General features: G+C 39.8%; 1 protein-coding gene across 55 annotated transcripts in view, besides 1 other annotated feature; it reads left to right on the top strand.

The window, feature by feature from the left end:
- The window catches only part of PHF21A (PHD finger protein 21A), a 192,136-nt gene that overhangs the window by 148,233 nt on the left and 26,923 nt on the right, over positions 1 to 16,980 (top strand). For 27 of the 55 annotated variants that reach the window (NR_147890.3, NR_165446.1, XM_047427105.1 and 24 more), the window contains 3 exons: positions 1,855 to 2,106; positions 3,318 to 3,407; positions 7,614 to 7,907. Coding sequence is in view for 53 of the 55 variants with exons in the window: in XM_047427105.1 (XP_047283061.1) it covers positions 1,855 to 2,106; positions 3,318 to 3,407; positions 7,614 to 7,907 (636 nt within the window). In the remaining 2 variants the exon portion in view is untranslated. The remainder of the gene's footprint in view (positions 1 to 1,854; positions 2,107 to 3,317; positions 3,408 to 7,613; positions 7,908 to 16,980) is intronic. The other 28 variants (XM_047427108.1, XM_047427085.1, NM_001352030.3 and 25 more) reach the window with 4 other exon arrangements.
- Positions 7,705 to 7,902: a silencer, noted in NCBI's record as "fragment chr11:45986871-45987068 (GRCh37/hg19 assembly coordinates)". NCBI's record gives its function as "represses an EF-1alpha promoter that drives an FKBP-Casp9 reporter gene in an ReSE screen in K562 erythroleukemia cells {active_cell/tissue: K562}" and the evidence as "EXISTENCE:reporter gene assay evidence [ECO:0000049][PMID:32094911]".

Here is a 16,980-nt window from a genome sequence, read left to right as displayed (position 1 = left end):
TTGGTCACCACTAACCACATGCGACTTTTGACATTTGAAATGTGGCTAGTGCAACTGAGGAGCTGATGTTTTAATTTTGTTTTTGTTTTAATTAATTACATTTAATTAATTTAGTTTTTATTTTTATTTATTTATTTTTTTTTGAGACGAAGTCTCACTCTTGTCGCCCAGGCTGGAGTGCAATGGTGTGATCTCGGCTCACTGCAGCCTCTGCCTCACGGGTTCAAGTGATTCCCCTGCCTCAGCCTCCCGAGTAGCTGGGATTACAGGCGCCTGCCACCACACCTGGCTAATTTTTTTTTTTGTTTTTGAGACGGAGACTCGCTCTCTCACCAGGCTGAGTGCAGTGGCACAATTTCTGCTCACTGCAACCTCCGCCTCCCGGGTTCAAGCAATTCTCTTGCCTCAGCCTCCCGAGTAGCTGGGATTACAGGTGCCTGCCACCAGGCCTGGCTGATTTTTGTATTTTTAGTAGAGATGGGGTTTCACCATGTTGGCCAGGCTGGTCTCGAACTCCTGACCTCAGGCAATCCACCCGCATCGGCCTCCCAAAGTGCTGGGATTACAGGCACGAGCCACCGCACCTGGTCTACTTTTTGTATTCTTAGTAGAGACGGGCTTTCGCCATGTTGACCAGGCTAGTCTCGAACTCCTGACCTCAGACGATCCACCTGCCTCGGTTTCCCAAAGTGCTGGGATTACATGTGTGAGCCACTGCGCCTGGCCAATTAATTTCCTTTTAAATAGCAACTTGTGGCTAGTGGCTGCCAAATCAGACAGTGCAAATATACAGTAAAGGTGGAGTAGTATCAAAATCAGAATCAATGAGTTTGACCAGATAAATTTTCATGTTCCTGAAATGTTGATCTATCTCCAGATAGATGTTTAGGCCATATAATGAGTTTGTTTATATTTTTTTGTTTGTTTTGTAACTGATTCCTTTAATTATTCTAGTAAAAAGTCTAGAAAAGTACAGCTTCAAAGCTGCAATAGCACTTAAGGAGCATCAGTCAAGTCCTCTCACCTCAGTTCATCTTCTGATCTCTCAGGCTTTTAAAACTCAGATGTTTGTTTTCACCTTGTCATGTTTCATTGCATCTTTGATCACTTCTGCAGCAGTTCTCCAGAGAAAAGATTATAGGTAGTAACTCATAATATCCCTTTAGTATCAAGAACTGGTATTTACTATATACTCATTGGCTAACATGTTTCATTATCTGGAGCTTTGGGACTCATTGCCTCCAGGGTAACTACCTCAGAGGCGACATGCTAATCCTTATGTGAGTTTCCCTTCCTTCTCTCCAGGGTGACACCATAAAAAAAAAAAAAAAGAAAGAAAAAGACACTGTCCTTTTACCCCAGCCTTTGTGTCTCAGGAAGCAGATATCCAGAACTGTATGGTGGCTTTCTTCATATTGGTGAGCTTGTAGCAGTTAGGATAGAAATGACATGTACCTCATTGATTTGCAACTAGTACAAAGTTTAAATTAATTGACAGCAAGCAAAGAACTAGAAAAACTAAAAGAATTAAGTATACTCACATTCTGTATCTGTATACCTACCCCATTTGTTGTTGAAAACCCTGTGCCTGAATTAGTCTGCAGTTATTACTATGAACTTACCCATTTACAAGTGACACCAATATGAGAACTCTTGAAAACTAGAGATTGCCTTTCTCTGTAGTAAGGAGTATGCTGTATGTACACAAAAGAAATGTTGTTCTACAGAGAAACTTGATTATGAGAATTATTGTTTTGTTTTCTTCCAAGGTTAAGCAGCATATTGTTTAGTGGGATTTAGTTTATTATTTAGTTTAGATTTAGTGTCCTAATATCTGTTTTCCCTGTCTCCTAGAAGACTGTAACTACAGCTTCTATGATTACCACAAAGACACTACCTCTCGTCTTGAAAGCAGCAACTGCGACCATGCCTGCCTCTGTGGTGGGCCAGAGACCTACCATTGCTATGGTGACCGCCATCAACAGTCAGAAGGCTGTGCTCAGCACTGATGTGCAGAACACACCAGTCAACCTCCAGACGTCTAGTAAGGTCACTGGGCCTGGGGCAGAGGCTGTCCAAATTGTGGCAAAAAACACAGTCACTCTGGTAAGCCAGCAGCTGCTCCTCATGTGTGATCACATGAGAAGGTTAGGATACGCATTTGTATAGTATATCCCTTCTAGGCTCCTGCTGGATTTCTCAGTTTCCATCATTCTTCTAGCATACCAAATTCCCCTTTGGGGCTGACAAGGGAATATGGCATTTCTGCTATCTGCTCAAATCACTACAGAAGCGTCCTGACACCAAGGACTAAATTCAGTGCATTATCTGAGGTCAAAGTATGACTTGATTTTAGGGGGAAGGTCTCCTTCACAGAGGCATACACACTGTTTCATTTATGTCTCCCTCTCCCTTCACTCTCTCTACAGTGTTTTCCTGTGAAACTTGAGTGCTTAAACTCTCTTGTGCTGTATTACTGCCTTGGTGAAAACTCCCTGATAATTCTTTTAGTTTTAATATCTCTTTAAATTGATTGTACCCAGAAAGAACTGGAGTTAGTTGAGGCACTTTAAAAATATTCAAGAAACTCACAAATTAACCGTGTCAGTGCCCAAGTTTTGTTCAGGAAAAAAAAAAAATCCCTTTAAGGAGGAAGTACTTGAACAAGAATTTTCATGAGAGTTCTAGGATCAAGCCATTTAGAAAACTGATATTCTCAGAAGCTTGGGAGAAATATATCTAAATTTTGATGTAAAATTCCCTTAAAATGGCACCTAAGAGCTCTTGGTGGCTTTTGAATAATACCAGTGGTGAGTGAAACTAGAGAGCAATAAAGTGAAGGTTCACCGCTTATCCAGGAATCCTTAGAGAAGCAACGAGGTCACTCAACCAGATACTGAGAGTTAGAAAATTTTCTATAGGAATAAAGCCATTCACTGTTAGCTTATATCAGGAAAAAGCCTATTTGGCTAAGCAGCAAGTTTGATTTTACTTTGGATCCAGTCTTGACTTTTAAAATATGTTAATGCAAAAGTTCTTGAGTGTCAAAGAAAATTGTCTAAGATTTACTGAGCCTGCTATGTTCTCCATTAGGTGTAGGAGGAAACAGAAGTGTGGTTGGTTCATTTTATAGGGTAAAGCACACAGGTGGGAGAGTTAAAAAGTTTCCTAATGCAGTGTTAATTCAGATGATTAACTTACGATGAAAGCTTGTAGAAAATATTGTCTGATCCAAAGAATAGTGATGCTAAAAATACTAGCTTTGATATTGAAGAGTAATTGTTCTCTCTGGTTTATTTATCTTCCTCATTTTTTAGCAGGTTCAGGCAACACCTCCTCAGCCCATCAAAGTACCACAGTTTATCCCCCCTCCTAGACTCACTCCACGTCCAAACTTTCTTCCACAGGTGAGTAAACCAATGACAAGCTCAATGATAGGTTAGATGGGACAGAAATCCTCATGGGCTCTTTCTAAGTAGCCTGTAATGGGGCTTGTCAGCCCAGCTGTCTATCCCGCTTAGCTAAACATTCTGACTGTTGATTTCTGTACTATGAAGAAGTTTATTTTGTCATCATGGTTTATTAGCAATGACCAAAGGCAGTAGCAGGGGGAAGTAAAGGAAAGGGAACATTTTCTAAATTTAAAATAATTAAAACCATTATAAACCTTAAACTTACTAGAAGAATTTAGCCAAAGTCTGCCTGGCAGTGGGGAAAGAATGCAATTAACACTTCTTATTTCTTTCCTACATGCCAAAAAGAGTAGGGAAGGAAACAACAGCTAAACCAACTAGTAGAAACTATTCTTCAGTTCTGCCCTGGAAAGTGATGGTTTTGAGAATCATGCTTAAAGGCAAAGCCTTGCTTCTAAAGGCTTAGGCTAGGGGTCTGTACAGAGGACTTTCTCCCTAGGCCCGAGCAGCTCTGCATGACCATACTCTCCTGAGAGTGTTCTTCCAGCAATTAGGCTAACTTTCACCATTCCCAGTGCAAAATGTCAAGATTTCCCCATTCTGGACCTTGAGGAGTGTTGACTTCCTTGGTAGGAAGGCTGAGAGTTCCTATCTGAGGCCCTAGTTTTCAGACAAAGGGAGAAGAAGAAGGAGTTTTGTGGTCAGTAGTGTAAATGATTTCCAAATAGCCTCTGGGGAGAAGGATGGGCAGTGCTAATATGAGATAAGATGATATCATTTGTTTATCAGATAAATCCCTAGTAAATACCTCAGAGGGTAGTCTGAGAGCACATGGGAGGGATACCTGCCTATTTTTTTTTTTTTTTTTTTTTTTTTTGCAATGGAGTTTCGCTCCCATCGCACAGGCTGGAGTGCAGTGGCACGATCTAGGCTCACTGCAATCTCCACCCACCAGGTTCAAGCGATTCTCCTTCCTCAGCCTTCCAAGTAGTTGGGGATTACATGCATGTGCCACCACGCCCGGCTAATTTTTGTATTTTTAGTAGAGACGGGGTTTTGTCATGTTGGTCAGGAATGTCTCAAACTCCTGACCTCAGGGTGATCCACCTGCCTCGGCCTCCCAAAGTGCTGGGTTTACAGGCCTGAGCCACCGCGCCCGGCCTGCCTGCCTATTTTTAAGAGTATTAGAGAAGGTTTCTTCAAGCTTTCTTTGATGAGTTGACATTCAGTCTGACCTAAAATCCTAGCTGAGTTAGCCTGATAAAACTTTGAAAGAAGAATAAAAATGTCCCAGGCAGAGGACAGAACATGTATGTAGTTCCAGGGTGGAGAAATGTGTTAAGTTTAAAGAACCAAAGGAGGTTTGCTGTGGCTGAGCACAGAGGGCCATGTGGCTCATGCAGGCTAGAGTTAGTTAGAGTTGAGGTTGGAGAAGTCCACTAGGGCCAGAGCTGGTGGAACCTTGTAGGCTATGCAAGAACCTGGGCCTTATCCTAGGAGCAGCAGGCATTCATTAAAGCATTTTCAAGCAAGCACTTGATGTGGTCAGATTTATGTTTTAGAAAATTCCTTCTTGCCTCTGTGCAGAGAATAAATTGGGGATGGTCAAGACTGTGGGCAGGAAGAACAGTTAAGACATTGTCAATAATGGTAATAACCAATGTTGAGAGAATCTTGCTACATACTAGGTACTATGCTAGGCACTTTACATGGAGTATCCATTTTAATTGTTACAACAACCCTATGCAAATAGGTATTACTCTTTTTAGGGTAAGGAATCTAAGGTTTAGTCCATGTTTTTCAAACAGTGGATCATGACCCACTTGTTGTGAAAGCAGTTTAGTGGATTGTAACCAGAGTGTTTAAATAAAATGAATAGAATAGAATATGAACTATTAAGAGTACATAGCACATACTGTGTTCTCTATTTCAGAAAGTTTTTGTTTTAGAGATACATGTCTATAGGCACATGCTGATTACAGAGTAAAATATATTTCTTACTGTTAAGTCAGTAGCACCCACCACAGGGTCGTTTTAAGTTCAGTCAGACATTCATACCGACAAGACTTTCATGGGCCACACTTGGCACCAGTCTACTTGGAATGATACAGGACAGAAACCACAGCTTGTGAGCAAGATAGCATCAGACATTTGTCTTCAATGAGTCCATACAGCAGTCCCTACAGCTGTCCAAGGATAGCTCAGGTGTAAGGAAATAAGCTCCTTATCTAAGACAGTGGGAAAGCCACCTTGGCATAGAAGCCTTATGCCCACAGGAGCCAATGTATCTTATAAAAACTACATAGGCATGGCTTCAAGGTCCCCACAATGGATGTGCCCAAGTTATGAGAGTCACCCCACTTAGGGAAGCCCAAATCATGGGGTCCCCTCAAGCCCATCCAGATTTGATTTAGCAATAAGGGATTTTTTTTTTTTTTTTTAAGACAGGGTCTCACTCTATCACCCAGGCTGGAGTGCAGTGGCACTATCTCAGCTCACTGCAACCTCCACGTCCCAGGTTCAAGCAATCCTTATGTCTCAGCCTCTCAAGTAGCTGGGATTACAAGTGTGTGCCACCATGCCTGGCTAATGTTCGTATTTTTAGTAGAGATGGGTTTCACTGTGTTGGCCAGGCCGGTCTCAAACTCCTGGCCTCAAGTGATCCACCAGCCTCAGCCTCCCGAATTGTTGGGATTACAGGTGTGAGCCACTGTGCCCGGCCAGGAAAGGGTCATTTTTATCATAAGCAGTGTTGCCTGGTAATATAGTTGACATTCTTATTTCCAGGAGAGCAGAGCTAAAGAGTTAATTGAAGGTCAAGCTTCATGCATAAGGGGAAAGCGTTTTGCCCACAGGGTCACAGTTTTAAAAGTTTGAAAAATACTGGCTTATGGCTGGGTGCAGTGGCTCACATCTGTAATCCCAGCACTCTGGGAGGCCAAGGCGGGTGGATCCCGAGGTCAGAAGATTGATACCATCCTGGCCAACATGGTGAAACCCTGTCCGTACTAAAAATACAAAATTAGCTGGGCGTGCTGGCATGTGCCTGTAGCCCCAGCTACTCAGGAGGCTGGGGCAGGAGAATCACTTGAACCTGGGAGGCGGAGGCTGCTGTGAGCCGAGGTCGCGCCACTGCACTCCAGCCTGGCAACAGAGCGAGACTCCATCTCAAACAACAAAAACAACAACAACAAACAAAAAAACAAAAACTGGCTATTAAAAATCAGGTATGTTACCTCAGGTTACACAGCTAGTGAGTGGTAGAACTAGGATTTGAACCCAAGCAAGGCTGACCTCATGTTTTTAACTGTAACTTTTTTTCACTGTTTTTAGTGAGCCAAACATAAGCTAGGATAGTAGATAGTGGAGTGAGGATAGAAGTAGACAGATATTAGAAGTATTTAGAGAGTAGAGGGTGGGGTAGGAATCATCAAGAGTGATTCCAAAATTTGTCAAGAAAAGGGTACTTACTGAGGCAATTATCGGAGGAAGAGAAGATTGGAAGAAGAAATTGATGAGTCTTAGACATGTTGATTTTGAACTTTTGAGATATTCAAGTATTGTATAATTCTGAAGTTCAGGAAGTGTCTCAGGTTCTGAGGTAAAAGTGTGAGTCTTCAGTACATAGATGGTAATTGAAGCCATGAGATGGGCAAAAGCTCCTAGGAATAATGAGAACATTGGGAAGAAAAGGGGTGCCAGGGAAAAAAATCCTAAGAAATACTCACATTTAGGATGAGGCAGAGGAAGAGTAAGCCCACAAAGGAGACTGAGAGGAGGAGTGGCCAAGAACAGGGAGTTAGAGGGCCAGAAATGGGGGTGCACTGAAGCTGTGGATATGAAGAAATTTCAAATGCGAGTTAAGGCTATTGGCAACATTATGACTATACTGTGCACAAGTTCTGGGTGGGACCAGTCTCTGGATTAGGCCTTTGACCTCAGCTAGAAGAGGTGGCATGGTATAGAAGAGGGAGCTCAGGGTTTAGAATCAAAAGCTATGTTCTAGGGTGAGGTTTGGACCTCAAGAGCTGATGAGTCTTGTATAAGATTATATGCCCTGAGGTCTATAGAATTAATGTACCAAAATGAACATTAATAAGTGTATTAAACACCATTTCATACATAGAGTGTGGAAGATTTGCTTTTATAGGACTTGAGCAGCTTAAGTAATACAATAATTATTCTCTCTTTCCCCTATAGGTTCGACCCAAGCCTGTGGCCCAGAATAACATTCCTATTGCCCCAGCACCACCTCCCATGCTCGCAGCTCCTCAGCTTATCCAGAGGCCCGTCATGCTGACCAAGTTCACCCCCACAACCCTTCCCACATCCCAGAATTCCATCCACCCCGTCCGTGTCGTCAATGGGCAGACTGCAACCATAGCCAAAACGTTCCCCATGGCCCAGCTCACCAGCATTGTGATAGCTACTCCAGGGACCAGACTCGCTGGACCTCAAACTGTACAGCTTAGCAAGCCAAGTCTTGAAAAACAGGTACAGGCAGAGTATGTACCTGCTCTGGGCAGTAGCCTTGTCGTTGAGGCATATGGCTGCTGGGCTTTCTCTAAATACATTTTCTCAAGGGCTCTTCATCTCACCACCATTGTCAGTAAGCTGTCGCTTATGTGCGATAATTCATCCACGTGCAGAAGGGTCATTCTTACTGAAGAAAGTTGGTTTGCTTTTCCCACCATCCCCTCGTAGATGGGCTGGGATTCCTGTGTGAGTGAGCTCCCCCTGGTGGTTCTGATGTGGAAATTCACAGACAGGCTCTGCTGCCCTCCGTCAGTAAGCACAGATGAGGTAGTAAACAGAAAACGCCATGTTAGTTTCGGCCCAATAAGAATCCAGATGAAGGTAGGACTGTGAAAGTCAGGAAGAATAAACAAAACAGGGAAAGGGATTTCATTTCAAAGACTTTTCTTTGATTGTTACAGATAATGGGGAGCCAAACAAAAAAAATTAAAATTTCCAAAAAGCATTCTTTAACTTTAGAGGATGCAGATATTTTAGCTCAAATATTGAAACATTTCATTTATATTTCCTGAAGTCAGATTTTATCTTAAAAAACGAGGCTAGAGACATACAAGTAACCTGCAAAAATACTTGAAGGTTCTGTAGCAGAAAGACCTCTGAAAACAAGAAGGATTTATAGGCAGTCACCGTATCCTATTTGAAAAACGACTAGTGATGAGAAAGAAGAATTTGGCAAAGAAAAGCATTCTCTCTCAAGAAAGTTGCTTTAAAAAGTCATCGACCTATTTCTAATTGTTCAGTCTTGACTTCTCATTTATCTGAAAATAGTCTGTGGTGATCCTGAATCTTCTGCTTCTGGATGGACCATGATTCAGAGAGGCTGTTCAGATGCTGCCTGCTGCCTTAGTCTTCTTGAGCAGAGGAACCTATGCATAGGGTACTAGACCTTAAACCCAGGCAGCTCACAAATGCGGCAGACCTTGCATTCAAGAAGCTAGTTATCAAAATCTGTGCTTAGGAAACACAAGAACACATCTCAATTCCTGGGGAACCTATTCAAACCCCAGGAAGTGCTTTGAGAAACATTCAGAAATAAATTATTATTATTATTATTATTATTATTATTATTATTTTGAGATGGAGTTTCACTCTTGTTGCCCAGGCTGGAGTGCAATGGCACGATCTCAGCTCACTGCAACCTCCGCCTCCCAGGTTCAAGTGATTCTCCTTGCCTCAGCCTCCTGAGTAGCTGGGATTACAGGCGTCAGCCACCATGCCTGGCTAATTTTGTATTTTTAGTAGAGACGGGGTTTCTCCATGTTGGTCAGCTGATCTCAAACTCCCAACCTCAAGTGACCTGCCTGCCTCAGCCTCCCAAAGTGGTGGGATTACAGGCATGAGCCACCACGCCCAGCCCAGAAATAAATTATTTACACATATTTTAACACAGAAAATTTCAAACTTATTGACAGCAGAACTTTGGTATTAAACTACTGAGAGTCAGATGCTCAAGCTTAGGAGTTTGGGTGGGGACCTGTTGTTTTGCACTGGCTCTCAAAGAACCTCTGAGGAGCCTCAGTGTTCCACAGAACCTCGTTTCACAACACTATTTTAGGTTATTAAATATTATTTCTCTTTACCTCTTTTTTTGATAAAGATATTTTTAGGAGACAAATTGTTTTGGTTTCATTTTATTTTTACATTTCTTTTCTGATTACAAAGATAGTACAAGTTCATTTTTAAAACAGATTCAAACATTACAAAAATATAAATTGTAGAAGGTGCTTTTCCCCGTAATCTAAAGAGAGAGTAAACTTTTATCATAATTTTACCCCCAGGAGTTAATTACTATTAACAGTTTAGATTATATTCTTACAGATTTTTTTTTCTTTTCTTTTTTTTTTTTTTTTTTGACACAGAGTTTTACTCTTGTCACCCAAGCTGGAGTGCAATGGTGGGATCTCAGCTCACTGCAACCTCCACCTCCCGGATTCAAACAATTCTCCTGCCTCAGCCTCCCAAGTAGCTGAGATTACAGGTGCCCGCCATCTCACCCGGCTAATTTTTGTATTTTTAGTAGAGACGGAGTTTCACCATGTTGGCCAGGCTGGTCTCAGACTCCTGACCTCAGGCGACCCACCTGCCTTGGCCTCCCAAAGTGGTGGGATTACAGGTGTGAGCCACCGCACCCGGCCCCCAGATATTTTCTATGTACGTGTAAAACATTTTTAAAGCAAAAACCAAAATCAAACTTATGTATTTTGTAATTTGGTTTTTTCCCTACTTTAATAGATCTTAAGCATCTTTTCCTGTCGTGGCCTTCACGTTGATAGAGCTTTTTATTTTAATTATAATATTATAAAAAGATATCCTTGAAATCTTAAGAATTAAAATAATTTCTTTTGTAGCAGTAAATTTCATGTTCTCTCTTCTCTTTTTTGAGACAGAGTCTCGCTCTGTCGCCCAGGCTGGAGTGCAGTGGCACGATCCCGGCTCACTGCAAGCTCCGCCTCCCGGGTTCATGCCATTCTCCTGCCTCAACCTCCCAAGTAGCTGGGACTACATGCGCCTGCCACCATGCCCGGCTAATTTTTTGTATTTTTAGTAGAGATGGGGTTTCACCATGTTGGCCAGGCTGGTCTCAGACTCCTGACCTCAGGCGACCCACCTGCCTTGGCCTCCCAAAGTGCTGGGATTACAGGCATGAGCCACCACGCCTGGCCAATGTTCTCTCTTCTTTTTGGTCTAATAAAGGAATTCAGTCATTGTTATTTTAGTTTGCTGGGCAGCCTGGCATAATAGTCTTAGAGGTTACCGAGCCCGATCAGCAGAGACTCTCTTTAGACTAGATTGCATTCTCAGGATTCTCTTACTTCGTATCTTTCAACTATCCTTGTTTTCTATTTATATTTCATTTCCAGTATCACATTTATAGCCAGTAAGAGATCTCATAGATCATAGAGCTAAAGGTAAAACAATGTAATGTATGTAGCCATGGAAGAACCTGTTCACACCTGTTCACAGTTACCAAACCCGTATCCAACGTTCTCTCTATGACCAGGCTAAATAGGTTCCCTTTTGCTTTCTGCTATTCCCTTTAGATGATAACATCATTCATTTAATAAAAATGTGTTAAGTACCAGTTGCTATGCTGCATGTGATGTCTATATATAAGGTGGATAAACTAAAGCCCGTACCCTCACGGAACTCAGTTTCTAGTGTGTTTGGAGCAGGCACTGAGGCTGTGTCTCCAGGGAAGGAAGCATGGCCTCCCACATTGGCATAGGAATGGGAGAAGGCAATGCCAGTTATAACAGCAGTGGTCTCACGTGTCCTTCCCCTGTCAGACATAACCAACTTCCTTATCTACCCCAGATAAGAGATCTTATCCCTTATTAGAAACCACGTTACACTGTGGCTCTGAGAAAACAAGTGATAGGGTTTAAAAATCTTTGAAGCTGAAGACTCGTTTTAGACAGAAAAGTAGATGAAGCCAGAAGACTTACGATATAGCCTTCACATCACCTCCCCTGTCCTTGTCCTCTCCAGCGCTCTAAAATGGGGCTAACACCTGTTGGTGATGAAATGAAGTCAGGTATTTAATGTTTATTAGATTATGCTTGATGGAGTTCTCAGGAATTATGTTTCTTCTCCACCCCACTGCCACCCTGCAACAAAGACTTCTATGTAACATGTCGTCAATTCAGAGCTACTGAAAAAAATCCCAAGGTTCTGTGGGGAAAAAAATTGCCACGTTACCATAAATATTTTTCATAGGAATCTGCACAGTATCTTCTAAAGAGAAGTACTTACAAGATAATAATATTATCCAATGCATTATCTTCAAATTTCTGTTTTCCCTGTTAGTCAACCAGAGCTGATGCCTCCCCTTACCCCATTTTAATACTGGTGCAATAGTAGAGAAAATAGTTCCAAGTGACCAAACCATGGATTTTGCTTTGCCTTCAATCCCAATCTATTTAACCTTGACTAACGAAATTATTTGGACATTTATTTGCACCTGCCTACCTTTGATTTTTCATGCAGACAAGTATATAAAGTATACTTGATTAACTTCATTCTAGGTTTGTGCAGAGTTTTTGGATTCTTTTATTATACCAAAAAGAACAGGAGTTGCAAATTCCAGCAACCGTGGGTTCGAAGAGGAGATGTAAGTGAGTGAAACAGGCTAGGAGTAAACAACTGGACTTTTTATTTATTTTTCCACTTTCAGTGGGAACATGAGTATAACAGATATCCCGCTTTTATTCTTAATTCCCCTTTAAAATAATAAGTAAGACAAGCATGATAATAATTGACAATAGAAAATGGAAGAAACTGTGGCAAACTGCACAGTAATATGCTTCATCTCAAGGAAGCAGCTGCTTCTTGGCAATAACAAACTTTTATCACATGGAGACTTCTTCAAGAAAAGCCTGAAATCCAGATGTTTTTAAAAGTTGCCAAGTTGTTAAAATACTGGTAACTGTTTAAACACCATATATGCAGAAAATAACATCTGCAAGACAATTTCGAGTCTGCATCATGGTTTATAATCTCAGAGACCAAACTTTAGATTCATCGAAGGGATATCCATGAATTCTTTTTTGTTTTCTAAATCCAATTTTTTTTTAATTGAGGTGAAATCACATAAAATTAATCATTTTAAAATAACAGTTCAGTGGCATTTAGTATATTCACAGTATTGTGCAACCATCACTTCTGTTAAGTTACACAACATTTTCATTACCCCAAAATAAAACCCAGTATCCATTAAGCAATTATTTAACTTTTGCCCTCTGCCGCTGGCAATCACCAGTCTGCTTTCTGTCTCCATAGATGTACCTGTTCTGGATATTTCATATACATAGAATCATACAATATGTGATCTCTTATGGCTGCTTTCACTTAGCATGTTTTTGAGAGTCATCAATATGGTAATACATATCAGTGCCCCCTTCTATTTTAAATGGCTGAATAATATTCCATGACATGTATATACCACAATGTGTTTATTCATTCATCTCTTGGTAGACCTAGGAAATCATAAGACATTGGTTGGTTCCACTTTTTGGCTATTGTGCATAGTTCTGCTGTGAACATTCATGTGCAAGCATTTGTATGACTACTTGTTTTCAGTTCTTTAGGGTATATACCTAGGAGTAGAAATTGCTGGGTCATACAGTAATTCTGCTCAACTATTTGAAGAACTGCCAAACTGTTTTCCACAGCAGCTAAATCATTTTCCATTCCCAAAGGCAGTACATGAGCATTCCATTGTCTCCGCATCCTTACCACACCTATTACTTTCCTTTTTGTTTTATTTATAGCCATTTCAGTGGGTGCAAAGTAGTGTTGATGTGCATTTCCCTAATGACTAATGATGCTGAGCATCTTTTCATGTGCTTGTTGGCCATTTGTACATCCATGGAAAAAGGTCTATTCAAATCCTTTGCCAATTTTTAAATTGGGTTATTTTTCTGTTGTTGAGTTGTAAGAGTTCTTTATATAATCTGGATACTAGACCCTTACCAGTTACATGATTTGCAAATATTTTCTCCTGTTCCGTAGTTTGCCTTTTTGCTTTCTTGATACAGTCCTTTGATACACAGCTGATTTTTGTCTTGATCTTGTACCCTACAACTTTGCTGAATTTGTTTATTAGCTCTAGTATTTGTTTTATGGATTCTTTGAGTTTTTTTCTCTGTAAGATCATGTCATCTGCAAATAGAGATTTACATCTTCCTTTCCAATTTGGGTGCCTTTTCTTTTTCTTGCCTAATTGCTCTGGCCTAAACTTCCAGTACAATATCAAATAGCAATGGTGAAAGCAAACATTCTTGTCTTGTTGTTGATCTCAAGTGGAAAGCTTTCACCATTGAGTATGATGTTAGCTGTGTTTTCATAAATGTTTTTTATAAAGTCAAGGAAATTCCCTTTTATTCCAAGCTTTCTGAGTGTTTTTATGAATAGATAACTGGAATTTTTAAAATAAAAACTGTATATGTATAAGGTATACAACATGATGGTTTGATATACATATACATAGTGAAATGATTACTATAATCAAGCTAATTAATATATCTATCTCCTCACATAGTTAACCTTTTTTGTGTGTGTAGTGGGGTGCTAGATTTTGACAAATGCTTTTTCTACACCAGTTGAGATACCATGTTTTTTTTCCCCCTTGGTTCTGTTAATGTGGTATATTATATTGATTTTCTTACATTGAACCACCCTTCCACTCTTGGGATAAATCTGGCTTTGTCATAGTGTACCATCCTTTTAATATGCTCTTGGATTCAGTTTGCTGGTATTTTGTTGAGGAATTTTTGTTGTTGTTGAGGGTTTTTCATTTATATTCATAAGGGATATTGGTCTGTAATTTTCTGTTCTTTTGGTTTTTGTTTTTTTGGAGGCAGGGTCTTGCTGTGTTACCCAGACTGGAGTGTAGTGGTACAATTGCAGCTCACTGCAGCCTCAACCTCCCAGGCTCAAGTGATCCTCCCATTTCAGCCTCCCAAGTAACTAGGACTATAGGCATGCACCACCATCCCTGGCTAATTTTGTTAAATTTTATGTAGAGATGGGGTCTCACTTTCTTGCCCAGGCTGGTCTCGAACTCGTGGACTCAAGTGATCCCCCGACCTTGGCTTCCCAAAGTGTTGGGATTATAGGCATGAACACCAAGCCTGGTCTATAATTTAATTTTTTTCGTTATTTTTTGGAGACAGGGCAGAATCTTGCTCTGTCACCCAGGCTGGAGTACAGTGGCATGATTTCGGCTCAAGTGATCCTCCCGCCTCAGCTTCCCAAGTAGCTGGGACTACAGTTGCGCACCACCATGCCTGGCTAATATATATGTGTGTGTGTGTGTGTGTGTATATATATATATATATATATATATATATATTTTTTTTTTTTTTTTTTTTTTTTGAGACCAGGTTTTGTCATGTTGCTCAGGCTGGTCTTGAACCCCTGAGCTCAAGCTATCTGCCTGCCTTGGCCTCTCAAAGTGAGCCACCACGCCCAGCCCATTTTCTATTCTTTGGTGTCTTTGGCTTTGGTATCAGAGTAGTGCTGGCCTCATAGAATGATTTAAGAGTGTATTTTCTGGAATTTGAGACAGATTGGTGCTAATTCTTTAAATGTTTGGTAGAATTCACTAATAAAACCATCTGATCCTGTACTTTTTCTTTTCGGGGAGAATTTTGATTACTGTTTCAGTCACTAGTTGTTACAGGTCTGTTGAGATTTTCTTTATCTTGAGTCAATTTTGGTAATGTGTGTGTTTTTAGGAGTTTTCCATTGCATCTATGTTGTCTAGTTTGTTGGCGTACAGTTTTTCAATATATTCTCCTATAATCCTTTTGAATTCTGTGAGATGTAATGTCCTCAGTTTCATTTTTGGTTTTAGTTATTTGTATCTTCTTATTTTCTTAGTCTAAGCCAGAGGTTTGTCGATTTTGTTATTCTTTTCGAAGATTCACCTTTTGGTTTTGTTGAGTCTGTTGTTCTTCTCTATTTCATTTATCTTCATCCTAGACTTTATTTTCTTTTTTCTTTTTTTTTTTTTTTTTTGCTTTGAATTTAGTTCTTTTTCTGTTTCTTAAGGTGTAAAGTTAGGTTATTGATTTGAGCTCTTTCTTCTTTTTTAATATAGACTGTTAGCAGCTATAAGTTTCCCTCTGAGTACTGCTTTCACAGCATCGCATAAGTTTTGGTATGTTGTGGCCTTGTTTTCATTTCTCTCAAAGTATTTTCTAATTTCCCTAGTGATTTCTTCTTTTACCCATTGCTTGTTTAAGAATGTGTTGTTTAATTTCCATACACTTGTGAGTTTTCTAGTTTTTCTGCTGTCATTAATTTCTAGTTTTTTTCCATTGTGGCTGGTGAAGAGATTTTATGTGATTCTAGTCTTTCTAAATTTATTAATATTTGTTTTGTGGCCTAACATATAATCTGTCCTGGAGAATGTTTCATGTACACTTGATAAAAATATGCATGCTGCTCTTGTGGAGTGGAGTATTCTTTCTATGCCTGACAGGTCTAATTGGTGTATAGTGTTGTTCAAGTTCCCTATGTCCTTTTTAATCTCTGCACAAGTTTTATCCATTACTTAAAGAGGGATATTGAAGTCTCCATTTATTATTGTAGAACTGTTTATTTCTGTCCTCAATCCTTTCAATAGTTTCTTCATATATTTTGGGGCTCTGTTGTCTGGTACATATATGATTATAACTGTTATATCATCTTTTTGAATCGACCCTTTTGTCAGTATATTATATAATGAGGTTCTTTGTCTCTCGTAACAGTTGTTGACTTTAAGTCACTTTTGTCTAATAGTACTATAGCCATTCATTATAAACATCCTTTCACTTTCAACCTTTTTGTGTCTTTTTCTCTAAAATGAGTCTCTCTTACAGCATATCATTAGATCATGTGTTTTGTTCATTCTGCCAGTCGGTCTTTTAATTGGTGAGTTTAATCCAGTTACATTTAAGTGATTACTGGTAAGGAGGGACTTACGCCATTTTGCTATTTGTTTTCTGTATATCTTACGTTTTTTGTTCTTCATTTCCTGTAATACTGCCTTTTTTGTTTGATTTTTTTCTTAGTGTGTCATTTTCATGCTTTCCTCATTTCTGTTTCTGTATATAATTATTTTCTTAGTGGTTACCTTGGGGATTACAGTAAACATTCATACGTTTTTAACAATCTAGTTTGAATTAACCCCAGCTTAGATTTTTAAAACCCTGCTTGTATGGTTTCAGTTGAAGCCCCAATCTCAGCGTCATGCAATATATCCATGTAACAAACCTGCACTGTACCCTCAAATCTAAAATAAAAATAAATAAATAAATAATAAAAGCTTTGCCAGTGACAATGAAGGAAAAAGAAGCTCTGCTCCTATACAGCTCTGCCCCTCCTTTATGTTGTTACTGTCACAAATTATATCTTATACATTGTGTGCCCACTAATATAGATATATAATTACTTTGTGCATTTAAGTCATATAGGAAACAAAAAGAGAAGTTAAAAATAAATAATAACACTGGCTTTTATATTTATTCATCTAGTTAGCTTTATT

The sequence above is a fragment of the Homo sapiens genome, chromosome 11, assembly GCF_000001405.40.
Source record: "Homo sapiens chromosome 11, GRCh38.p14 Primary Assembly".
Classification (NCBI taxonomy): Eukaryota; Metazoa; Chordata; class Mammalia; order Primates; family Hominidae; genus Homo; species Homo sapiens.
The sequence above is the reverse complement of the archived record's forward strand: the minus strand, read 5'-3'. Positions and strand labels throughout refer to the sequence as shown.